This window comes from Homo sapiens, chromosome 1, assembly GCF_000001405.40.
Source record: "Homo sapiens chromosome 1, GRCh38.p14 Primary Assembly".
In the NCBI taxonomy this organism is placed as follows: domain Eukaryota; kingdom Metazoa; phylum Chordata; class Mammalia; order Primates; family Hominidae; genus Homo; species Homo sapiens.
Window position 1 is genome coordinate 231,584,861 of NC_000001.11, and position 27,301 is coordinate 231,612,161.

General features: G+C 42.5%; 2 long non-coding RNA genes across 9 annotated transcripts in view; one reads left to right on the forward strand and one right to left on the reverse strand.

The window, feature by feature from the left end:
- TSNAX-DISC1 (TSNAX-DISC1 readthrough (NMD candidate)) overlaps positions 1–27,301 on the forward strand; it is a 512,620-nt gene that overhangs the window by 56,208 nt on the left and 429,111 nt on the right. The window lies entirely within an intron of this gene.
- Positions 6,432–27,230, reverse strand: LINC00582 (long intergenic non-protein coding RNA 582). Its single transcript, NR_034037.1, has 2 exons — positions 27,143–27,230; positions 6,432–6,940 (listed from the first exon to the last, which is right to left on the reverse strand). It is a non-coding gene; the product is annotated as a long intergenic non-protein coding RNA 582 (long non-coding RNA).

Consider the following 27,301-nt stretch of genomic DNA (forward strand, 5'->3'; position numbering starts at 1 on the left):
CCACTGCACTCCAGTCTGGGTGACGGAGCAAGACTATGTCTCAAAAAAAAAACAAAAAAAGCTAGATCAACATGACCTCTTTCCTTGAACCCATGCTTTGTGACATCTGTCTCAGAACTGCCCTGGTTGCATTTCCTAGTGTTAGTCCTTAAAGCACAGGAATGACGTTATTAATATCAATGAGATATGGAAACTCATTTGAAACCATCTCTGATCTCTGTCTTCATCATCGCATGGTATTCTCCCTGCATGGGTGACTCTTTCCTTCCCGTTTTCATATGGACTGCAATCATTTTGGATTAGGGCTCACCCTACTTCAGAATGACCTAATCTTAACCAATTACATCTGCAATTACCCTGTTTCCAAATTAAGTCGCATTCTAGGTACTGGGGATTGGGACTCGGTGTTCATACTCCAGTGTATGAATAATGAGAAGGGGACACAGTTCAACCCATAACACTCCCTTTTCTGAAACTTCTCGCTAGATTTGTGTTTTGTTCATGAACTGTCTCACATTGCATATGGTTTTCTGCCTTTCTTCTCTTTCTGGATTGTAAGTTTTTTTTGTTTTTTAGATGGAATCTTGCTCTGTCACCAGGTGGGAGGGCAGTGGCAGTCTCTCCTCACTGCAACCTCCACCTCCTGGGTTCAAGTGATTCTCCTGCGTCAGCCTCCCGAGTAGCTGGGACTACAGGTGCAAGCCACCACGCCTGGCTAATTTTTTATATTTTAGTAGAGACAGGGTTTCACCATGTTGACCAGGATGGTCTCAATCTCTTGACCTCGTGATCTGCCTGCCTCAGCCTCCCAAAGTGCTGGGATTACAGGCGAGAGCCACTGTGCCCGGCCAATATTTTTTTTTCTTTTTTTTTTTTGAGACGGAGTCTCGCTCTGTTGCCCAGGCTGGAGTGCAGTGGCTCGATCTCAGCTCACTGCAACCTCGGACTTCCAGGTTCCAGCAATTCTTCTGCCTCAGGCCTCCCAAAGTGCTGGGATTACAGGTGTGAGCCACCGCACGCGACCTAGATTGTAAGATTTGTAAAGTCTGTGGTTTGTCGTTATAAAATCCATAGTGCTAAGCACAGAGGCTGGATAGATGTTTATTAGGGGCCTTACATTTCTTCACTATGGCTACCTTTGGGCATCCAGGTTAGGTTATACCTCCAAAGAGCAAGAGGCAGGATTTCATTAAAATGTTGATGAATCCAAAGTTCTTCTACGTACCTGTCTGCCTGCACTGAAGTTCATAAGTTTATGTATCATTGTTGGAGTCAGGACAAAATGGGGTTTGAGAGTCAGGTTGAGAACCCAGGGGGTGAGAATGGATGAGAGAGAGGGAGAGAGAGAGAGAGAGAGAGACGAAAGAAAGAGAGAAAGTGTGGCTATCACAAAGCCAGGGGAGACACTGAGTTAATGATGGTAGCATGATATCAGAGAATCAGAAATATGCCATAAAAGAAGTGAATACAAGGATTACAAGAACATTTCAAAACCTAATGCTAGTGTTCAGGGGACAGAGATCCTGCAAGAGTTGAAGAGAGGGAGTAAGCCACAAAACAATTCCAAGCACCGGTGTCAAAGGGGCAAAATATCTGGCCAAAGGTTCAGGCAATGGAAGTAGAATATCAGAAGCAAGAAATCGATTTGATGATGAGCCAGGTCATGGCCTTTTCCTGGGGATCTTACATCCCTGGGAAGGCCAGGAACAGGTCCATAAATTCAGCCAATCTAGGATCCACTTGGAGAGAGAAGGGGAAGCACTTGGCTGGAGCAGGGGCTTGCATAGCCTCTGGTAGCCACTGACAAGACCTCAGCACGGGAGGCCAACCCTCAGACGCATTGCTGTTCATTTAGTCAAAATGCTGAGCTGTACAATTAGAAAAAAATAACTCATTGTCCCTTCTCTCAAGATGCTGACAGGTTCATGGGGGAAATCAAACACCTTCAAGAAAAAGTAAGCATCCTACAAAGTAGTAACACAATTTACGTAGGAAGTTGGATTTAAAAAAAACTAATTTTTAGGCCTGGTGAGTTGTCTTATGCCTATAATCCCAATATTTTGGGAGGCCAAGGTGGGAGGATCGCTTGAGCCCAGGAGTTTGAGACCAGCCTGGGTAACTTAGCGAGACCCCAATCTACACAAAATTAAAGAATTAGCCAGGACTGGTGGTTTGCACCTATAGTCCCAGCTACTTGGGAGGCTGAGGTGGGAGGATCACTTCAGCCCAGGAGGTCACAGCTGCAGTGAGCGGTGATCCTGCCATTGCACTCCAGCCTGAGCAACAGAGTGAGACTGTCTCAAAAAAAAAAAAAGAAAGAAACTCTGTTTTTCATAGAGAGCCTACAGACATTTCTTAAGGGGAATCAGCTGTAGTCTAGTTAGGGAATTATGCAAATATATCAAAGAACTACATTACTTTTTTTTTTTTTTTTTTTTGAGAAGGAGTCTGGCTGTATCACCCAGGCTGGAGTGCAGTGGTGCAATCTCAGCTCACTGCAGCTTCTTCCTCCAGGGTTCAAGTGATTCTCCTGCCTCAGCCTCCCAAGTAGCTGGGACTACAGGCATGCACCACCACACCCAACTAATTTTTTTTGTATTTTTAGTAGAAATGGGGTTTTGCCATGTTGGCCAGGCTGGTCTTGAACTCCTGATCTCAAGCGATACCCCTGCCTTGGCCTCCCAAAGTGCTGGAATTATAGGCATGAGCCACTGCACCTGGCCTAGATCACTTTTATTAGTATGTGATTTGAAACAGAGCACATGTAGTTCATCTAACAAACTTCGTAGAACATTTCTTTACAGTGTAGTACCATTGTAATGCAAATGGCATTTATAATGCAGAGGGAGAGGTTTGACATATCGTTTTACTCTTTGAGATACAGCGTGTTCCTAGTGTGGTATTTTTTTTACCTTGTTTGGAAACCAGTTAGCACAGCTAACCTTTGTCTCATGGAAACTTAAATCACTGTTGGTTAACCTGGGGGCCCAGCCATCATCTGTACTGATGATCACCTAGTGATGGTTACATTCTAGTGCGGTGTCTGAATGTCCGAGGTATATTTGGATCACTTTTAACTGAAGACCCAGTCTTTGTTTGTTTTTTTTTTTTCCAAGACGGAATGTTGTACTGTCGCCCCAGGCTGAAGTGCAATGGCACAATCTCGGCTCATTGCAACCTCTGTCTCCTGGGTTCAAGAGATTCTCCTGCCTCAGCCTTCCAAGTAGCTGGGATTATAGGCGCCCACCACCACGCCTGGCTAATTTTTTGTATTTTCAGTAGAGATGGGGTTTCACTATGTTGGCCAGGTTGGTCTCGAACTCCTGACCTCGTGATCCACCCGCCTTGGCCTCCCAACATGCTGGGATTACAGGCCTGAGCCACCGCGCCAAGGCTAGGACCCAGTCATTTAATGGTCTATATTTCTGTGCAGTTTTTAGCTAATATAATACTACAGTGGCCTTCTTTACGGGCATGGTTGTTTATTTTATTTAAAAAGTAACTTTAAAAATTATTGTCCTAAAATCTCATTCTGAATTACTCTTCTGTTGTTCTCAGTGTGTGTAAGAATCTTGCCTTGGGCTTGTTTTGAATCCCCCAGCCAGGAGTGGTAGGAACTTTGGAGTTCACTGATTAACAGCAAATGGTGGGAAAGCGCAGAATTTCCTGGAGCCACATGATTTGGTAGCAGGTGCAAAGGGAACTCTATGGTTTGAGCTATTACATCCCAGAGGCATGATCGAAACAAAACCTCTTTTTAAATGGGGTTAACCTAGAAGGTGACAATTAAAATGTTGAGAGATATTGTTAGGACAGCCACTGTGGGCAAGTAGTGGTGCCCATAGGAGAGATGCCAGAAGACGACTAAGGAGGTGTCACAACCAGGAGCAGAGACCCTGCAGATGGCAACTCACAACAAAGAGAGCGAGGATCAGGTCAAAAGCTCAGGGGGCTGTTCAACAAATTTTGATAAAGGTGACGTGGAGTTCAATCTGAAACCAGGAAGTGGAAGACCTCCCTGTGTCCCCTACAACATCTGTCAACAACGCCTGCCTTTGTGTTAAAACGAGGCCGGAATGGGGAGCAAACTAAAGAACGGGGACCAGTTTCCTCTCTTTGTGCCCCAGTTCCCCCTCCTTTGTATACACCCTCCATCCTGAATAGACTCTGGTTCTCAGCGCTAACACCGACAACATTCATCCTGTAGAGAAACAAATGTTGCTCAGAAGGACACAGCCAAAGAATCATCAGAGAGTTGGGAGCCAAGACCCCCGAGGTAGCACTTGTGGAAATCAAGTCTACATAAGATAACCCATGCAAACAAGCCAAACAAGGCCAACATTGAATGTCACATAGACTGTTTTTTTCCCATCATAAGGCAGAACTTTGATAGAACAGCGAGCAACTTGACGACATGGTTTTAGACTGTTAGACCCTAGTGGCGGCCACGACTGGCTGATGAGTGTTTCCCTCGTTGGGCATTTTAAAAAAAATCACTAAATACTTTATATCTCTTAGAATTTTTGTTGTAAACATGTTGAAAGAGCTGTTTTAGAATTAGCTAGACATTGATTTTTTTCTGATTTTTATGTCACTCTTGTGCACAGATTAAAAAAAGAAAATACAAACAAATCTAATTGGTCAAGGTATTCCTAAACGTTTTTGCATTCAGAGGCTCTTTCATCAATCATCTCCACCCCCCAACCCTGGCTTTACTGAAGTATGATTGACAAATAAAAATTGTACACATTTGGCCGGGCGCAGTGGCTGACGCCTGTAATCCCAGCACTTTGGGAGGCCAAGGCAGGTGGATTACCTGAGGTCAGGAATTCAAGACCACCCTGACAACATGGTGAAACCTCATCTCTACTAAAAATACAAATTTAACTGGGTGTGGTGGTGCATGTCTGTAATTCCAGCTACTTGGGGAGGCTGAGGCTGGACAATCGCCTGAACCCGGGAGGCGGAGATTATAGTGAGCTGAGATCACGCCATTGCGCACCAGCCTGGGCAACAAGAGCAAAAAAACTCTGTCTCAAAAAAAAAAAAAATTGTCACTTTGGGAGGCCAAGGCGGGTGGATCACGAGGTCAAGAGATCGAGACCATCCTGGCTAACATGGTGAAACCCCGTCTCTACTAAAAATACAAAAATTAGTTGGGCGTGGTGGTGTGTGCCTGTAGTCCCTGTTACTTGGGAGGCTGAGTCAGGAGAATCGCTTGAACCCAGGAGGTCAAGATAGCAGTGAGCTGAGATTGTGCCACTGCACTCCAGCCTGGCAACAGAGTGAGACTTTGTCTCAAAAAACAAAAAAATTGTACACATTTAAGGTGTACAATGTGATGTTTTGATATATGTGTACATTGTGAAGTGATTATCACAATCAAACTAGTCACATATCTGTCATGTTTGTTTGTGTGTGGTGTGAATGCTTAAGATCTATTTTCTTAGCAAATTTCACGTATACATTTTTTTCCCCTTTTTTAAAGAGATAGGATGTCACTACATTGGCCAGGCTGGTTTCAAACTCCTGGGCTCAAGCAATCCTCTACCTCAGCCTCCTGAGTAGTGGGGATTACAGAGGCATGCCACAGTACTCCACAACACATTATTATTAACTATAGTCACCGTGCTGTAAAGTAGGTTTCCAGACCTTATTCACCTTATAACTGAAGTTTTGTACCCTGTAACCAACATCCCCCAGTCCATGGTAACCACCATACTACTACTCCGTGTTATGGTGAGCTCGACGTTTATTTAGATTCCACACGAGTGAGATATGCAGTATTTGTCTTTCTGGGTCTGGCTTATTTCACTTAAGATAATGTTCTCCAGGTTCACCAGTGTTGTAGATCCTTGGGCATTTTTAGAAGTGAAGGTCTGCCTGTGAAGATTTCCTAGAAGCTTCTGCCCTCTAGCGCCCAGCCTGAGAGGTAGTGTGGCACCATCCCTACTTATCCGTGCTTCCTTCCTCAATTTACAAATCGTGATTCAGCGTGAGAAAATGATAAAGTCAGCAGGATGGAGGTGAGTAGTGCAAATACATAGCAAATACTGTAAAGATTGATGGAAGAGAAATTGGGAGAATCTAGTTAACTAGACCCAAAAGCATGCACACACCAGTATTATTTCCTTCCCTTTCTCTCGCCCCCTCCGCTTGTAAGTTACCCTCCACCCCATCCCTTCTCCAGGAGAAACGTGCAGCCAGTCCTCAAAGTCCCCCATCACTGGTCATGTCCTTAATCTCCCTGCTTTCTTCTGCCCTTCTTTCCAAGTGGAGAATGTGGGTTACCTGGTGGGAGAAAGCAGATCTGACTGAAGTTCTCTATGGACTCCAGTAGAAGGCATAACTTCGTATAGGTGGGCCTATATCCGTCATTTATTGTTTTCTAAAAACAGATTTGTTATGATGAGAAAAATAATGCACGCTAATTGCAGAAAAGTACAAATTCCCTCACTTATTTATTTCTGCATGCAGATGCTTATTTAACTCAGGCTAAGTAGGTTAAGGTAAGAAATTCTGGAATGGGAAGACAGATCATTAGAGAAGAGGATAGTGGAGCTTCTAAGAGAGTCCAGGTAGGGATCACACCCAGACTCTGCATTCTTTCCCCTCCTCTGAACGCTGCCCCTTGACGTTCTTCGGTTTCCCTTCCTTCAGAGCATGTGCCCAATATCACTGTACACATTCACGTAGTTCTTTCCGCCTCTGACCTGTGATTGCTTGGGGATCTGAGCACCACGGACTGGACTGGGGTGACCTGGTGGGTTGGGCTGAATGCGGGCGCTGGGGCAGCTGCCATGGCCAAGCCTTGCCCTGGAGAACAGCTGTGCTGGGCCCACTCAGACGTACGTGCCTCCCCAGCAGACTGGCTGCATCTGGTATCCTCTTTGACTTCATCTGCATCTCTGTAACTCGAGGTCAAGCAGAAAAGAATAACCTGTTGAAATAACAAATCCATTAAGTTATTTTTAAATATGGATAAGTAAAAAATAAGAAAACAGAAATGGTTTATAATCCCACCTCCTAGCTAGCCTTTGTGGATATTTAAAAAATTACAGGCACAGCCTTAAAATGTGCAAAACAGCACGGGAAAGTCCAAATGAAAAGTAGACAGACTTTCTTTCCAGCAGTCCTTCATTTCAAAGATAACCATTACTGTCTGGGAAAAAAATATGTATGTGTATACTATCTTTTAAAATTTGTAGAACATAGATTTTTTTCCATATTCATTCTGCTGCTTTTTTCTTTTTTCACTTCCTATTTCTCAGAGATATTTATACATTGGCACATCTAGATGTAATTAATACTTCTTAAAAGTGCATAGAATTCCATTTGTAAGGTAGCGTAATTTATTTAGCTTCTTCCTTACTCATGGATATTCAGGGTTTAGTTTTCTCGCTATAACCACATTGCAATGAACGTATGCTTATGTCTGTCTTGGAATATTTTTGTTGGTGTAATCGACAGGGTAATTTCATAGGAGTGGAAGTGCCAAGTTGCATAATGTGGAACTACACTTTAAAAAGGTATTGGTACAGTTTGTCAAATTGCCCTTAAAAAAGATCATACACATTTGGCCGGGCTTGGTGGCTCATGCCTGTAATCCCAGCACCTTGGGAGGCCAAGGTGGGCAGATCACCTGAGGTCAGGAGTTCAAGACCAGCCTGGCCAACATGGCGAAACCCCGTCTCTACTAAAAATACAAAAATTAGCCAGGCGTGGTGGTGGATGCCTGTAATCCTAGCTACTCAGGTGGCTGAGGCAGGAGAATCGCTTGAACCTGGGAGGCAGAGGTTGCAGTGAGCAGAGATCTCACCATTGCACGCCAGCCTGGGCAACAAGAGCAAAACTCTGTCTCAAAAAAAAAAAAAAGCATAGAAGTTTATACTCTCACCACAAAGTGAACAAGGTTGAGCATCTTTTCATATGTAAAATGACAGTTAATATTCCTTTTTCTGTCAATTGCTTATTCATATTCTTTGCTGATTTTTCCATTGGGTTCAGCATTTACTGATTTGGCTGAGCTTGATAAATTAAGAAAATTAGGCTTTTGTCTTTCATTGTATTTTATAAATGTTTTCTCCAATTTGTCTTGTGTTTTAACTTTGTGTTTAGTTCTTGTTTTTGTTTGGTTTGGTTTTTGCTGCAGCAGCATTTTTAACATTTCATACAGCAAATTTGGCAGAGCACCTTTAGGCTATTGGCTTTTCTGTCTTATTTTGAAAGGTCTTCCCCACTGCAAGCTTATACATCAATTTACCCATGCTTTTTATTTAAAACAACAACAACAGCAGCCGCCACCACATGGTTGTTGTCAGGAAAGCCAGCTAGTAAATGCAGAAAGTTTATAAAATACACTTAAGAAACAGAAAAAAATGTTATCGTGAAATTGCTAGAGATAGTCACTGTGAATATTTTGTCATAGAAAGTTCTTGCCTTTGTGAAGGACGTGAACAGACACTTCTCAAAAGAAGACACTTATGCAGCCAAAAAACACATGAAAAAATGCTCACCATCACTGGCCATCAGAGAAATGCAAATCAAAACCACAATGAGATACCATCTCACACCAGTTAGAATGGCAGTCATTAGAAAGTCAGGAAACAACAGGTGCTGGAGAGGATGTGGAGAAATAGGAACACTTTTACACTGTTGTTGGGACTGTAAACTAGTTCAACCATTGTGGAAGTCAGTGTGGCAATTCCTCAGGGATCTAGCACTAGAAATACCATTTGACCCAGCCATCCCATTACTGGGTATGTACCCAAAGGACTATAAATCACACTGCTATAAAGACACATGCACATGTATGTTTACTGTGGCATTATTCACAATAGCAAAGACTTGGAACCAACCCAAATGTCCATCAGTGATAGACTGGATTAAGAAAATGTGGCACATATACACCATGGAATACCATGCAGCCATAAAAAATGATGAGTTCATGTCCTTTGTAGGGACATGGATGAAATTGGAAATCATCATTCTCAGTAAACTATCGCAAGAACAAAAAACCAAACACCGCATATTCTCACTCATAGGTGGGAATTGAACAATGAGAACACATGGACACAGGAAGGGGAACATCACACTCTGGGGTCTGTTGTGGGGTGGGGGGAGGGGGGAGGGATAGCATTGGGAGATATACCTAATGCTAGATGACGAGTTGGTGGGTGCAGCACACCAGCATGGCACATGTATACATATGTAACTAACCTGCACATTGTGCACATGTACCCTAAAACTTAAAGTATAATAATAAATAAATAAAAGAAAGTTCTTGCCTTTGATTCTATGCAGTAACTGACTGTATTTTGATGTCATGAATTATACTTGTTAAATATTTGAGTTATATTTTTTAAAAAAAGTTTTTTCAGCTGTAATTTATATATCATGAAATTCACCCATTTTAGATGTATAATTCAATGATTTTTAGTAAACTTACAGAATTGTGCAATCATCACTACAATCTAAGTTTAGAACCTTTATTTCCTTCACCCCGGAAAGAAACCGTGTGTCCATTTGCTGTCACTCTCCATTCCCTCCCCTCAGCCTTAGGCAACCAATAATCTACTTCCTGTCCCCATGGATTTGCCTTTTTTGAACATTTTATATAAATGGAATCATACAATATGTATGTTTTTGTGTGTTTGGCCTCCTTCACTTTTGTGTGTTTGGCTTGATTTGTGTTTGCTGAAGTTGGGGCACATTCAGAATGGGGTTGACACCTTAGGAAGTGGAAGGGCTAAGAGGCAGGTTCACCAACCAGCAGTGGGGTCAGGAACGTGCTGTTGTTACCTCTGGAATATCAAGGCCAAGGTCTCTCAATATTTCCTGTCCCCCAGAGTAGGCCCTTCACTTAATATGAGGTTCATTTATATTGTAGCTGTATCAGTACTTCATTGTTTTTATGGCTAAATAGTATTTCACTGAATGGATATGCCAGTTTTGAGTATCCATTCATCAGTGGAAAGACATTTGGATTGTGTCCACTTTTCAGCTGTCATGAGTTTTATGCTAGCTATAAACGTTTGTCTACAAGTTTTTATGTGGACATAGTTTCATTTCTTCTGGGTGTGTATCAAGGAATGGAATTGCTGGGTCACATGGTAACTTTATGTTAATATTTGGTTGTATTTTTGAGGAGCTGACTGGGACCAATCCATATCGAAAACCTTAACTAGGAAGTGCAGACAGGAGCCTCCAGAGGAAAACCTCCCCAGAGGGTTAAGACCTGTGCAGTGTTTAAAGTTAGAGGACTTTACAGCTGGGCGCGGTGGCTCACGCCTGTAATCCCAGCACTTTGGGAGGGCAAGGGGGGCAGATCACGAGGCCAGGAGTTCGAGACCAGCCTGGCCACCATGGTGAAACCCTGTCTCTACTAATAATACAAAAATTAGCCGGGCGTGGTGGCACGTGCCTGTAGTCCCAGGTACTTGGGAGGCTGAGGCAGAAGAATTGCCTGAACCTGGGAGGTGGAGGTTGCAGTGAGCTGAGATCGTGCCACTGCACTCCAGCCTGGGAGACAGAATGAGACTCCCTCTCAAAAAAAAAAAAAAAAAAAAGTTAGAGGACTTTGAATAGAGCCTAAGGTTATCTTTGGGTCTTGACCTAACAGAATGTTAGATGTGTTTCTTTTTGTGTGATATCAGTTGAGACACTAATGTGTAATGGACAACAAATACAAAAATGAGTGTTAAGACTGAACCCCACGTGGGCAAAACTTAGAAAGGGTCAGGGGTAAGGAGACGAGAACAGATGTTTGTACACCCATGTTCAGAGCAGCATTATTCACAATAGCTGAAAGGTAGAAGCATCTCAAGTGTCCACTGATGGTTGAATGAAAAAACAAAGTGTGGTCTCTCCACACAATGGAATATTATTCCATCCTGACACGTGCTATAACATGGATGAACCTTGAGGATATTGTACTCAGTAGAATAAGCCAGTCATAAAAAGAAATAATGTATGATTCCACTTACATGAGGTTCCTAGAGAAGTCAGATTCATAGAGACAGGAAGTTCAAATGGTAGGTGCCAGGGACTGGGAGTCGGGGGTGGGGGAGTTCATGTTAGAAACTCTGGGTACAGAGTTTCAGTGTGGGAGGATTAAAAGAATTTTGGAGATTGTTCGGCGGTTATAGTTGCACAGCAGTGTGAATATAGTTAATACAACCGAGCTATACATTTGAAAATGGTAAAAATGCTAAGTTTTATGTTGTATGTAATACCACATACAAAGTAATGAAAAAGAGGGGGATTCCAGTATAGTCAGAGGAGGCGTATTTGTCTCCAGACTCTCCTCTTCTCCTCCACTCCGCCCGTGGCTGGGGAAAGGGCTTCAGTAGGATTGTCCATGAGCTTGATTTGTGTTTGCTGAAGTTGGGGCACATTCAGAATGGGGTTGACACCTTAGGAAATGGAGGGGCTAAGAGGCAGGTTCACCAACCAGCAGTGAGGTCAGGAGCGTGCTGTTACCTCTGGAATATCAAGGCCAAGGTCTCTCAATATTTCCTGTCCCCCAGAGTAGGCCCCTCCGCGGGAGAGCTGGCGAGAGCAGTTTGTGAGTGCTGCCTGGGGAGCCACTGGGAAGGGTGGAGTCTGCAGCAGCATGAAGCCATGTGGAGTGCACAGTGGGGAAAAGCAGCCTGGGGGGTGGAATGTTTTGTTCAAAGCCTGAGAATTAGGTGAGAGGCCTCAGCAATTGGGTAATTAAAAAGAAAACAAAAGCCCATGAAATTGCTTCGTGGAAGTAAGAGTTTGCTTTCACTGTGTCAAGCCCAGAGTGCAGGGAGCCACCCAGCTAAGTAGAATCCATTGCCTCTCCCCAGGAAGGGCCCCAAACAGCAGCTAGTGGGAGAATGCAGAAGAGGAGAAGACGCCCACACCTTCTTCTCCAAAGCAGGCAGTCTTTAGACCTCACTTAGCCAAGAAGAGAAAGACTCTGAATGAGGACTGAATGGCTTGTTAGTATCTTGGACTGAACCTGTACAAGTTACTAAACCAATGCTGATTTTATGATCTTAACACTGTAGAACCATCCATTATCTAAGAGTGAATGCAGAAGTCATGAGATTTGCCCAAGTATCCATTCAGGGATAGAGGAAATTATCTCCATAATTATATTTTGAAGGCACCACAGGAGAATAAACAAAAACAAACAAACAAATAAAAGACAGTTATTGGCTTTGCTACAAAACTGGTTTAGTCAATATACAAATTGTACTCCCAGCCCTTTTCCCCCCCAGAATATCTTTATTTTTTTCTACATATGAACACTTTTTTCCCCAGTGTCTTTGTAAAGACTTTTATTTTTGTGGTCCACATGCTTTAACTTGTGTATGGAAATAATCTGGACCGAGTCAGCAATCGTGGGTTCTAGTCTGTGGTCTTCTTTATTTTATTTTAATTAATTAATTTTATTTATTTATTTATTTTTGAGACGGAGTCTTACTTTGTTGCCAGGCTGGAGTGCAGTGGCACGATCTTGGCTCACTGCAACCTCCACCTCCTGGGTTCAAGCAATTCTCCTGCCTCAGCCTCCTGAGGAGCTGGGACTACAGGTGTGTGCCACCATGCCCAGCTAATTTTTGTATTTTTAGTAGAGATGGGGTTTCACCATGTTGGCCAGGATAGTCTTGATCTCTTGGCCTCGTGATCCACCTGCCTTGGCCTCCCAAAGTGCTGGGATTACAGGTGTGAGCCCCTGCGCCCGGCCTCTTCTTTTTTTTAATTTAAATTTTTATTTTAAGTTCTGGGGTACATGTGCAGGATGTGTAGAGTTGTTACATAGGTAAACGTGTGCCATGGTGGTTTGCTGCACAGATCAACCCATCACCTAGGTATTGAACCCAGCATCCATTAGCTATTTTTCCTAATGCTTTCCCTCCCCGAGTCTCAGTCTTCTTAACAGAGGGTGGTGGGGGGAAAGAAATATGTCTCTTGCCATGTGACAATGTTATTATGAAGATTAATATATCAGCACTGGGCTATTTATTTGGGGAGTGAGGGTGGAAGGAATAAATTCTACATTTATACCTTTAAAAATTGTTAAATACTCTTCTATTAATATTTGAGCCTCCTTTCTTTATTTGCATTGTACATGAAATAGTCCTTACAAAATGAATCATTTAATATGTTGGCACAAATATAGTCTTTCTTAGTCAATGTTCGCATAGAAACCATGTGGAATTATTTTACTCAAAAAGGGAGTTATTAGAAGGATGCTGGTGAAGGATATCTGCATTCCTGAGGGCCAAGACCCAGGAAGCAAGAAGCCATCAGGAATTCCCAGGCCTCATCTGCTTCATTCTTTTCTTCCAAGATTATATCACTGTAGTTTCAGCCAAACACAGAGATCATAATTCCATAGTCCCCAAGAAACAGCTAGGTTAGGGACATAGGTCTCTTAATATAGAAGGGCTGCCAGGAACTCAGCTAGTGGGTGTGTGGGGACAGACCTTGGAGAAAAGGGGTAATTGTGCACTGGATTGACATAAAAGAAGTGTCTGCTCTGAAGCTATAGCAGCCTCCCTTATCCATGGGGTATTGATATGTTTCAAGACCCCAATGGATGGCTGAAACCTTAAATACTACTGAACACTAGACATACTGTTTTTCCCTCTACATACCTATGATAAAGTTTAATTTATAAGTCAGGCACAGTAAGAAATGAACAACAATAGCTAATAATGAAATAGAATTATAGCAGTATACTTTAATAAAAGTTATGTGAATGCGGCCTCCTTCTCTCTCAGAATGCTTTGTTGCACTGTACCAAGGGTAAACTAAAAACCATGGACAGTGAAACTGCAGATAAGCGGGGACTGTTGTATTTGGAAATGAAGCTGTCATTCATTTCCTTCCTGCCCACCAAAAACCCACTGTATTAGGCCATTCTTGCATTGCAATAAAGAAATACCTGAGACTGGGTAATTTATGAAGAAAAGAGGTTTAATTGGCTTGCGGCTCTACAGGCTGCACAGGAAGCATGGCACCAGCACCTGCTTGGCGTCTAGGGAGTCCTCAGGAAGCTTTCAATCATGGCAGAAGGCGAAGGGGAGCAGGTACATCACACGGTGAAAGCAGGAGCAAGTTGGGGTAGGGAGGTGCCACACAATTTTAAGCAACCAGATCACGTGTGAACTGAGTGAGAGCTCACTTATCACCAAGGTGATGGCCCAAGCCATTCATGAGGGATCTGCCCCCGTGATCCAAATACCCCTAGCAGGCCCCACCTCCAACATTGGGGATTACTGTTTCAACCTGAGATTTGGGTGGGGACAAATATCCAAACTATCTCACCAACCAACCCCTAACTGTGATCACTGCAAATAAACCCCAGTAACAGAAAAAGCAGTCCAATGAAAGATATAACAATTTTTCTATTTCTTCTGAGTTTAGAAAAATGAGCTAGAAATTTGGTGTGTGGGAAAGTTCGTCTAAAGTCTTGTATATGCTCAAGAATGCCTTGTCTGTGAGTGTGCTCTATAACATTTCGAGAAACTACAGAAGGAAATTATAACGCCTTTTCCCATGAAAACTGTTAGGAAAATGGGGCCAGGAGCAGTGGCTCATGCCTGTAATCCCAGCACTTCGGGAGGCCGAGGCGGGCAGATCACGAGGTCAGGAGATGGAGACCATCCTGGCTAACACGGTGAAACCCCGTCTCTACTAAAAATACAAAAAATTAGCCGGGCGTGGTGGCGGGCGCCTGTAGTCCCAGCTACTCGGGAGGCTGAGACAGGAGAATGGTGTGAACCCAGCAGCGGGTGCTTGTAGTGAGCCGAGATCGCGCCACTGCACTCCAGCCTGGGCGACAGAGCGAGACTCCGTCTCAAAAAAAAAAAAAAAAAAAAAAGGAAAATGGATGCCAGTTGACAGGATCAAATTTCGTATTTGTATACTTGGTAGATTTGGAACTCTAAAGTAGATCCTATGAGGAGACAGATAATTGAACAACAACAACCAAAAAGTAAAAAAAACTCTGTGTCCTAGATGACTCCATGAAATGTAAGTCAAGCACTATGGTATACCATATTTACCCTAACAGAGAAACACTCAGAAACCTAGCCGGTTTTTTGAGGGAAGAACTATTTGTATAGAAACCTGGAGGTACAAACCATTTAGTAGGAGAATTGTCCTATTGTGCCTTCAGCCACATCTCATTTAAAATCGTAAGTAAAGAAAGTTCTAGAGCCTGTAGTAAAAATATTTATTCAAATGTAAATTCATTTATTCAAATGCATTTTATCTACCCTTTCCTTCCATCCGGCACCTTCTCAAGGACCTCTCTAGTATAGTATTTTGGGATCTTGAATCAGCTGCTGACCATGGCTCTTAGTTGCATAGAGACCTCTTGTTGTAAACGCATTTGCTTGTCGTGGAGCTTAACATTTATTATTTAGTAAGCAAAGATAGACATGGGTTCAGGATCCTGCAGAAATTAAACAGAGGTCCTTGAAAAACTTGAATGTGTCCTGCTTATCTTTTCATTTCTCCTTTTCCTGGGTTTTCACTGATATCCGTATGGGAAAAATATAGCTATATTTTCCTCTTGTATTCTCCAAGCAAGTACTGAGTAGCCCAGATTCACCATTTGACAGGAAACAGTGTCATCACCGTAGGCAGATCTAATACCGATGGAAAAGAGCTGATGTAATTTAAATGCTCTCTGTGATTTCTGGAAGTCTTTACAGAATTGTTTTGTATTGTAAGAGCCGCCAAAGGCAGCTGTACTAAGCAACATTTAACAGAGTAGTAAAATGCATTTCAGACCAGGAGGAATTCAGCCATGCTAGCACATGGCACCTTCCACGCTGAAAGGCAAATCACAATCAGAATAAGGCCCACGAAGTTTATTTCACCTACTGTGTTTGCAACTTTGCCAAACCGCAACTTTAACAGTGACATAGACATATAAATATATAATGTACATGAACAAATGACCAGTAAACTTTGACATCTGGTTTTTATCTTAAGTCTGTTTCTTTGTCTTGTCACTGTGGAAAAAAACCCGGAAAAGTCTTGAAAGCTAATTAGCTCCAAATTTATTTTAGGAATGAAGGGCCAAAGAGTTTTGATGACAAATTTTTCTTTGTTGCAGCTGCCAAGCTGGTCTCTGACCCCTCAATTTAATGGAAGTGATTATTTATTTGCACATACGTCCTTTGTTTTTTTCAATACAGAACTCTCTTTCCTGGAAATAGGCACCTAGCTTCTAATTCCCATTTGCAAAGAATTTGCTGTCTTAAACAAGCTTTAAAATACTGTACTAAACATCTCTTTCAATATATTCCTTTATTAAACTGATTTCTAGGCTTTATCAGAGGGAATGTATAATAATAATATGTATTGTTTTTTGAGTTTACATTTTCCTTCAAATTAAAAAATTTTTTTCTTATAAGACTAATTTCCCACCCAGTTTACATATTCTTAGTGGGTGTGCATGCAAACACACACGTATGTACACATATACACACACAGTTTATACATTCTTGTCTTTTTCATTATATTTATGAATATGTTATTTTGGTATAGGTGTAAATGAAAAGTTATTAATTTCAGGTTATTGATTGTCTATTATTTTGAAAGACCAAAGTTTGACTTAATTCCACTTATCATAATCACAAAACTTCTGGTGGGCTATCTCATCCTTTTAAAGCAGTTAAATAGCTTTTATATAAATATGAATATATAATATGTACACAAATGTATGTACCCATACATATTTGAGAAATATATATAATACATATGGCATATATATGAAAGCACCACTGAATCAGACACATTATATACATTTCTCTTGATTTTAGAGCAAAAAGCGTTTAGGGGGAAATGTATAGGCTGAAGTTAAAGATTTGGGAACTCAGTGGTCATAAAGTTGCTGGTCTAATGATGTCAATGTCAGTCCTCCAGCCTAATGGGAAAGGTATGGAGAACCCCTTAGCTTTCTTCTCAACAGAACTTGTCTCCTTTTCCTCCTCTGCACACTGTGAGACTTTGTAGGACTTAGAAGGCTATGTCTGTGAATCAGCCAGGAAATAGATCTCTCTGCTGGGCTTAATCAACCTCTGCTGCCCTTAGGTCTTCGCAGAGGTCCTGGGATTGCAGGTTCTGGACCTAGCCCAAGGAAGCTCAGTTTTTCCTTGCCAAAATCTACGCAAATAACATCCAGAAGTGGATCACTTTTTCTTTTTTTTAAGAGCATGAATTTAAGTGTCACTCATTCTCCCATGTAAACATTGGCATAAATAGCTGATTTTATCCTTGGGATGGCATAGTCTATCCCACGACTGCCAAAAGAACCTGGACCCTGCCATGGTAAATAAACCCCTCATCTTGCCCAAGAAGAAGGACATTTATATGGTTATAAATACCTACATTTTATTACAGGCTTAAAATTTGATACAAAATGTAAACATTGTGTTTGGCATAGTTGGGAGTAAATTTACATTGCTAATGGTTGCAAAACAAAAATAAGCTTTAGTTAGCAAAGAAAACTTTAATAATTCTATTGAAAATAAATTTTACTGCTATGGCAACTGTAGAACAAAGATAATAAACAAAAGATAACCATGGCGTGAAACCATATCACATTTGTGGGCCATGGGCTGGGAGATTGAATCCTTAGTACTTCTTATGAAAACACAGTGCTTCAGTCAATTTCTGGATCTTACTATCGGCATACTGTTATGAAGACACATTATTCTGCTTAGTCTGCTTGCCTTTTAGTGAACTTAGTTATATTCATGTCTAAAAAAACCTGTAAACTTATTATGCATGACTCATTTTTTCATAGTCTTCAAAATGATTGTAAGGATAGATAATGATCTAGTAAACTAATGTTACAATTAACTATTAATCATTGGCTATTTAGATTTATAGTTTCACTTTTGTAGTTTTTGCCTCTATTGACATATTTTCTAAGGATAAATTTGTAGGAATAAAATTCTTGTGTGAAGGGGTTATTGATATTTATTTTTCTTTTCTTTTCTTTTCTTTTTTTTTTTTTGAGACGAAGTCTAGCTCTGTCACCCAGGCTCCGCCTCCCGGGTGCAAGCGATTCTCCTGCCTCAGCCTCCTGAGTAACTGGGATTACAGGTGCTAATCATGCCCAGCTAATTTTTGTATTTTTAGTAGAGACAGGGGTTCCACCATGTTGGCCAGGCTGACCTCCTCAAGCACTCCTGACCTCAAGCAGTCCGACCATCTCGGCCTCTCAAAGTGCTGGGATAAAGGCGTGAGCCACCACGCCCGGCCCATTTATTTTTCTTATTTAAACATTTTCTTCCTTTGACTTGTTTGCTTGTGTTTGTTCTCAGTTTTTAGAATCATTAAACATTTTGGCCATATAGAAAAATATACAGAAGCCTGGCCGGGCGTGGTGACTCACGCCTGTAATCCCAGCACTTTGGGAGGCCGAGGCGGGCGGATCAGGAGGTCAGGAGATCGAGACCATCCTGGCTAACACGGTGAAACCCTGTCTCTATTAAAAATACAAAAAATTAGCCGGGCGTGGTGGCGGGCTCCTGTAGTCCCAGCTACTCGGGAGGCTGAAGCAGGAGAATGGCGTGAACCCGGGAGGCGGAGCTTGCAGCGAGCCGAGATTGCGCCACCGCACTCCAGCTTGGGTGACAGAGTGAGACTCCGTCTCAAAAAAAAAAAAAAAAAAAAAAAAAAATACAGAAGGCTTTTATTTTATTTATCTTTACGACCTTTTCCCCTGTTGTTTAGGCACTTGTGTGAGCTCAAGAAACATCTAATGAATCAAAAGATAGTCCTTTGGTGCTTTAGAAATGTGGTTTTGAGATTAAGTCAAATCAATAAGTCTTTATTGAGCGTGTGTTAAGTACAATAGCACAGACCAAAGCGCAAAGAGATTCTGGGGATTTCGACTTATGAGTTAATTCAGGCTCCACTAGGGCAGAAGCTGTTGTTCACTTTTCTCCTTCTTGGGTGACAGGTGGGTCTGCATCACAGCTGCTCTGGAGGAAGAGCAGCCATCTCTTCCTGCTGTCACCATTGCCTTGGTAGGACTGGTGTGTGTATGGGTGTGTACTTGTCTTTCTTAACCTTTCACTTTTGAAGATCTTCCTTCTTCATCTTGTCCTGCCCTCTGGAAGGTGAGAAGTTGCTTGTGTTATCTCCATTTGTGTGCAGTCTAAAATGGCTACAGGGCATTCTAAGCAAAGGGGCTCGAGGAGGAGATGTTGGATATCTCAGGAGAAGACCCTGAAGAAATCCCTTCTCCCTAGAGGAAAAAAGTCGCGGGCAGCAATCGAGATGGCTCTACCGAATAAAGCAGTTTTTAGTCAACTTCTACCACCTAGTGGCCATTTCTGAGAGGCTCTTTTCCCCTTTATTTATTTTTAAAAGTATTTTGACATATGCAAAGACATTTGTATCTGTCAATCCATGTTTTCTTTAAAAATGTCAAGATCAAAATAACACAGTGTCACAAAGAGAAGTAATCATTGCAAGAACTAAAACCCAGAGATGCTTAAAGATGGTTCTTGGGCAACCACTTATATTTTAGTTTGTTCCCTTCAGTCCTATTTGAATTTTTAAAATTCTATTTGAATTTTTATTGTCACATGTGTATGATACTTTTATAATATATATTTTAAGTTTTTAAATTTATAAAGGTCTTTTTAATATATAAATAGAGCCGGGCAAGGTGGCTCATGCCTGTAATCCTAGCACTTTGGGAGGCCAAGGCTGGCAGATCACCTGAGGTCAGGAGTTCGAGACCAGCCTGGCCAACATGGTGAAACCCCATCTCTACTAAAAATACAAAAAATTAGCCAGGGATGGTGGTGCACGCCTGTAATCCCAGCTATTCGGGGGGCTGAAGCAGGAGAATTGCTTGAACTGGGGAGGCAGAGGTTGCAGTGAGCAGAGATCTCGCCACTGCACTCCAGCCTGGGCGACAAAGTGAGACTCAATCTAAAATATACATACACACACACACACACACACACACACACACGTTTTGAGGGGTGTTAATTTCTGGCAATTAGTGCAAAAGGTGTATTAAATATGAATGTGAAAAAAGTTTAAAAGGAAAAATTTTAAATGTTTGTTTTTCAGATAACCTTATATAACATGGGAAATAAACATTACTTAAAAATTTACTTCATTTGCTCCTACTTCACCAAATCAAATGGTTTCCATTTCTCAGGTTGTTTTCATTCATTGATCGATATGCAAACGTAGTTTTTCTCTCATATATAACAGTCCATCCAGATTTTCTGACATGGGATCAGAATCTTTAAATGCTTCATTATAGAAACATCACCATCTACAAGGGGGCATGAGTGAAATCAGTAGAATTTTCTTTGCTTGAGATCTCTTTTGCCAGAAGGGCAAGTGGCTTTTGTCAAATGAATTGTGTTTTGATGAAACAGTGTAGCTGATACTCAGAAGCCTGGAGCAAACCTTCTGGTACAGGAGAGGGCCCTTCTGTTGTGTAAGTTTTGCAGTAGCACAGACTGCATTTTTAGCTCTGACACAGTCTTCGTGATTTTGGACAAAAACTAGACTTTCAGACTCGATTCCTTGGTGCATTAGTTTGCTAGGACTGCCATAGCAAAGTACCACAGACTGTGGCTTAAACAGCAGAAATGTATTGTCTCACAGTTCTGGAGGCTGGAAGTCTGAGATCAACGTGTTGGCTGGGTTGGTTTCCTATGAGACTGCTTCTCTTGGTTTGCAGGCAGCTGCTGTCTTGATGTGCCCTCACGTGGTCACCCCTCAGGGTGTGTCTGTGTCCTGTGTCTGTGGCCTCATCTCCTCTTCGTATACGAATATCAATCATATTAGATTAGGGTCCACCCTTAATGACCTCATTTTAACCCAATTGCCTCCTTAAAGATCCTATTTCTAAATACGGTCACATTCAGAAGCACTGGGGCTTAGGGCTTCAGCACTTGAATTTTGGAAGTCACAACTCAGCTCATAGTGCCTGGCTTGGGAATATGGCTAATAATTTCGCCTGGCAGAATTGTGCAGTTGTGAGGTCATGTTTAGAAAACTCCTGGTGTGATGCCAAGGTGCACAGTAGCTGCTCAATGAACAAGCTGTTATTCCTACTTCAGTTTGGATTTTGAATATCAGATTTCCTTAAAGTGAGGAGCCCCTATAACAGAATCCAGGGATTTTTAAAATATTGGATCAAAATGCCATTCAGTCAACTAGGACCTGACACTAATCTATCTCATTGCATCTTCTCTGGCCTTCATGCTGCACCAAGACACTGCACGTACTAAATGCTCCACTTTTAGGAATGCTTAATTGTCCTGTCTGGGTCCACTCACTCCAGTTACTCCAGCTCACCCTGGGAGGCAGTAAGCCATCCCAAGAACCATGGTTAGGACCATAGGTCCTGGAGTCCCCAAGATGTCCAGCTCCATTGCTTACATCCTAGACATAGGCATGGTATTTAACCTCTTTAAAGCTTCAGTTTCCCCATTTGTGAAATGGGGGTAATTGCATCACTACTAAATCTGTAGCATTCTTTTGAGAACTGAAAAAAATGGTCAAAGTAAAGCCCTTGGCATAATGGTAACAGACAATAGATAAGCTCTTAATTTTAAAAAATGTTTAAAAATTTTTTCGAGACAGGGTCTCACTCTGTCTCCTAGGCAGGAGTGCAGTGGTGCTATCACAGCTCACTGCAGCCTCGAACTCCTGGGCTCAAGTGATCCTCCCATCTCAGCCTCCCGAGTAGCTGGGACTACAGGTGCTGGCACCATACCTGGCTAGTTTCGTTGATTTTAATTTTTTGGCAGAGTCTCGTTATGTTGCCCAGGCTTGTCTCAAACTCCTGGGCTCAAGCGATCCTCCCGCCTCATCTTGGTTTCCTGAAATGCGGGGATTAAAATATAAACCACCGTGTCTGGCCGGTAAACTCATTACTGTTGGCTTTTATTATGATTTTTATTTGCCTCCCAGTACCTAGGTATTTAATTATAAGAGGAATGCCCTTTCAGAATCCCTGTCATAGTATTGCAGTTAGCAGGGCTAGCTCCACTGCATTCCTGAGAAGTGATGCTTGGGAGGCTGATATCTCTCCTGCATCCTGCTGCTGCCCTATAAAGGAGGAGGGCAGTGGGGCTCAACTCCCAGCCTGCACACCTCCTCCTCTTCCTTAGCTTGCTGATCTTTCTCTTAAGGGCTTTTTCCTCCCTCTGCCTACCCCGGTAATGACTACCCTCTTTTCCATTTTTTTTAAACTTTTATTTTAGGTTCAGGGTTACATGTAAAAGTTCGTTACATAGGTAAACTCATGTCACAGGGTTTTGTTGTACAGATTATTTGATCACCCAGGTATTAAGCCCAGTACCCAATAGTTATCTTTTCTGCTCCTCTCCCCCCACCCACCCTCCACCCTCAAGTAGACACCAGTGTCTGTTGTTTCCTTCTTTGTGTTCATAAGTTCTTGTCATTTAGCTCCTGCTTATAAGTGACAACATGTGGTATTTGGTTTTCTGTTCCTGTGTGACTTTACTAAGGACAATGACCTCTAGCTCCATCCATGTTCCTGCAAAAGACATGATCTTGTTCGTTTTTACGGCTGCTTAGTATTCCACGGTGTGTATGTACCACATTTGCTTTATTCAATCTGTCATTGATGGTCATTCAGGTTGATTCCATGTATTTGCTATTGTGAATAGTGTTGCAGTGAACATTCGCGTGCATGTGTCTTTATGGTAGAATGATTTATATTCCTCTGGGTATACACCCAGTAATGGGATTGCTGGGTCAAATGGTAGTTCTGCTTTTAGCTCTTTGAGGAATCGCCATACTTCTTTCCATAATGGTTGAACTAATTGACACTCCCACCAACAGTGTATAAATGTTCCCTTTTCTCTGCAGCCTAGCAGCATCTGTTATTTTCTGACTTTTTAATAATAACCATTCTAACTGGTGTGAGGTGGTATCTCACTGTGGTTTGAATTTGCATTTCTCTAATGATTAGTGGTATTGAGCTTTCTTTCATATGCTTGTTGGCCGCATGTATGTTTTCTTTTGAAAAGTGTCTGTTCATGTCCTTTGCCCACTTTTTAACGGGGTTGTTTGTTTTTCTCTTGCAAATTTAAGTTCCTTATAGATGCTGGATATTAGACCGTTGTCAGATGCATAGTTTGCCAGTATTTTTTCCCATTGTGTATGTTGTCTGTTTACTCTGTTGGTAGATTCTCTTGCTGTGCAGAAGCTCTTAAGTTTAATTAGATACCACTTGTCAATTTTTGCCTTTGTTGCGATTGCTTTTGGTGTCTTTGTCATGAAATCTTTGCTCATTCTTTTTTTTTTTTTTTTTTTTTTTTTTTTTTCAGACAAAGTCTCGCTCTATCGCCCAGGCTGGAGTGCAGTGGCACAATCTTGGCTCACTGCAACCTCCGCCTCCTGGGTTCAAGCAATTCTCCTGCCTCAGCCTCCAGAGAAGCTCAGACTACAGGCGCACACTGCCACACCCAGCTAATTTTTTGTATTTTAGTAGAGACGGGGTTTCACCATGTTGCCCAGGCTGGTCTCAAACTCCTGAGCTCAGGCAATCCACCTGCCTCAGCTTCCCACAGTGTTGGGATTACAGGCGTGAGCCATCGTGCCCAGCCTCTCTGCCCATTCTTATGTCCCGAAGGGTATTGCCTAGGTTGTCTTGTGGGATTTTTATAGTTTTGGGTTTTACATTTAAGTCTTTAATCCATTGTGAATTGATTTTGTATATGGTGTAAGGAAGGGGTCCAGCTTCAATCTTCTACATGTGGCTAGCCAGTTATCCCAGCACCATTTATTGAATAGGAAGTCTTTTCCCCATTGCTTGTCTTTGTCTAGTTTGTTGAAGATCAGGTGGTTGTAGGCATGCAGCATTATTTCTGGGCTCTCTATTTTGTTCTATTGATCTATGTGCCTGTTTTTGTACCAGTACCATGCTGTTTTGGTTACTGTAACCCTGTAGTATAGTTCAAAGTCAGGAACCATAATTTCTCTGGCTTTGTTCTTTTTGCTTAGGATTGCCTTGGCTATTCAGGCTCTTTTTTGGTTCCATATTATTATTGTTTTGGAGTCTCACTCTGTTGCCCAGGCTGGAATGCAGTGTCACAATCTTGGCTCACTGCAACTTCTGCCTCCTGGTTTCAAGCGATTCTCCTGCCTCAGCCTCTCAAGTAGCTGGGATTACAGGTGCATGCCACCATACCTGGCTAATTTTTGTAATTTTAGTAGAGACGGGGTTTCACCATATTGTCCAGGCTGGTCTCGAACTCCTGACCTCAGGTGATCCACCCACCTCAGCCTCCTAAAGTGCTGGGATTACAGGCATTGGGCACTGCGCCTGACCCCATATTAATTTTAAAGTAGTTTCTTTTTTCTAGTTCTGTGAACAATGTCATTGGTAGTTTGATAAGAATAGCATTGAATCTGTACGTTGCTTTGGATTGTATGGCCATTTTAATAATATTGATTTTTCCTATCCATGAGCATGGGATGTTTTTCCATTTGTTTGTGTCTTCTCTGATTTCTTTGAGCAGTGTTGGAGATCTCTCACCTCCCTGGTTAGCTGTATACCTAGGTATTTTATTCTTTTTTTGTGGCAATTGTGAATGGGATTGCCTTTCTGATTTGGCTCTCAGCTTGACTGTTGTTGGTTTATAGGAATGCCAATGATTTTTGTACATTGATTTTGTATCCTGAAACTTTGCTGAAGTTGTTTATCAGCTGAAGGGCTGAGACTCTCTGCCTAATTATAACCATGTTACAGTATCTGAAAGAACCTTCTCTTGGCTGGGTGCAGTGGCTCACGCCTGTAATCCCAGCACTTTGGGAGGCCGAGGCAGGGGAATCACCTGAGGTCAGGAGCTTGAGACCAACCTGGCCAACATGGTGAAACCCCGTCTCTACCAAAAAAAAAAAAAATTAGCTGGACATGGTGGTGGGCGCCTGTAATCCCAGCTACTCAGGAGGCTGAGGCAGGAGAATCTCTTGAACCCAGGAGGCGGAGGTTGCAGTGAGCAGAGATCACGCCACTGTACTCCAGCCTGGGCGATAAGAGCAAAACTCTGTCTCAGAAAAAAAAAGAATCTTCTTTTTCTCTTGCTTTCCATTGACAATTCCTCCCCACACTTTCCCTCCCTTCTCTGCAAAACTTCTTGAAAGAGTAGGGAGTATGCTGAACATTTGCTTCTGTGCCATCCATATCCTCCTTAGCACCTTCACCTTTTCAGCCTGCTCCTGGAATTCTACCTGAAACAGCTCCCTTGAAGCAATTCTTCTCTTTTGCCTTCCTACTTGTTCTGTCTTTGCAGTTTTTATTGCCCAATATCTCCCCCCTCACCCACTTTTTTTTTGAGACAGGGTCTGGCTCTGTTGGCCAGGCTGGAGTGCAGTGGCGTGATCACAGCTGACTGAAGCCTTAACCTTCTGGGTTTGAGCAATTCTCCCATCTCAGCCTCCTGAGTAGCTGAGACCACAGGTACATGCCACTGAGCCAGGCTAGTTTTTATTTTTATTTTTTGCAGAGATGGGGTCTCCTACATTGTCCAGATTGTTCTTGAACTCTTGGCCTCAAGCAATCCTCCTGCCTCAACCTCTCAAATCCACAGTGCCCAGTCCCACATCTCCTTTTTGAAACTATTTTTGTCTGGTTTTCATGACTTTGCTCTGGATTGTCACAAGACTAGTAAACTTCCGCAGATGTCTCTAAGTCTCTAACTTGATACTACACTTCTGGAGTGTGGCAGGACCTGGGACATGAACCCAGCTTAGACACAGGGAGGAAGTTGGTGTAAAGAAGGGAACGGGCACAACTGGAGCCAGGGGCCTGATTGGGAAGACTTCTTGGGAGTGCTGCCTTCCCTCTGTTCTGCTTCTCTTCCCATCTCTTACATCTTTTTCTTGCTTGCCTTTCTGATCCAACTTCTTAAAGTTAGTAGGACCCAAGTTTCAGTGTTCCATTCCCATTCAACCTTCTTATCCCTTCTAATACTTCAATGATCATATCTACACAGATAAATGTCTCTTGACCTTTCTCCTGACCATCAGCCCATCATCTCTTATGACTTGCTAGGGACTTCCAACCACATCCATCCCAAATCTCAAACTTAACTTTAGGGGTGCCATTATTTCTTCATACTGCCTTGCACTGTGGTCCTTTCCTCTCAATTCCTTCCACTCCAACTCCCTTCCACTTTCCCACCACCTCTCTCCTGCTTCCCACTTCCAGTCCTCCCAACCCGTACCTGGGCTCCTCATCCTGCTGCCTCTCTTTTCCCTCAGAGTCATCTTTCCCCGAAAGCCTAGTTGGTACAGATTCCCCGCTGCTTCAGAATCTTTAATGGCCCCTTCTTGGTGATGAGAAAAAAGCTCAACCCCTTAGTTAGCCTGGCATTAAAGGCCTTTCACAACCTGGCCTTCACCTTCATCTCTGAAGTCGCCTTCTCTGGATTCTCGCCAAGATGAGCTGTCAGCTGCAGGTTGGGGGTTCTCTTAGACAAGCCATGTGGCTTGACTCTCAATTTTCCTCTTGCCTGAGAGACTCTCCCTGTCTTCTCTCCTCTTTCACAAAGACCACCTGAGCCCATAGTGGTTTTCTGCCTCCTCCGAAGTTCTAAGTAACTTTAAAAAATGTGTCTCTGTGTACTCCCCAAAGAGCCAAGACCCCTGCAGGCAGAACCTGTATTTTATTTGGGTGCAGAAAGTTTGCTGGGCAATCCAGTCCTGTTGGATGCACTGCCTGTTACTAGCCATGCTGTGGGCAACTCTCTGCATCTCAGTTTCTTTGGTTTATTATAAAATTGGAATGATTCCTTCCTGCTTTCCCAAATGTTGGTTGTAATAATCAAAAGAGCAAATGGATGAGAAAATGCTTTGAAACTCTAATAATAAGCAATGTCAGATATTGTCAGTTTTCCTTTCCAATCCCTGGCTTGTCTGTCTATCCGTATCCATCTTTCTTACTATAAACAATTAAGTGTAAAGCAGACTTCTCAGCTTTAAGCTTTGCCTGGAAAGAACAATTGCAAAGGGCTATCACTCCTTAAGCCCCAGGACATAAGAAGATTACCAGCTGGGCACAGGGAGCTGGGATCCTTCTGCCAGGCTGCTTAGATGATGGGTGCCCGGAGGAGCAGGTACTTACCATCTGTCAAGGCGTCTGGCTCATGCTCAAGAATGCAGCTCAGTTTCTCAGCTGACAACACACATCTGACCCAAGGTGTGAAGCTCAGGATCTCAGACATGTGTGATCCAGGATGATTCACTTCCCTGTATGGTCCTGTGAGAACACTTTCGCCTTACG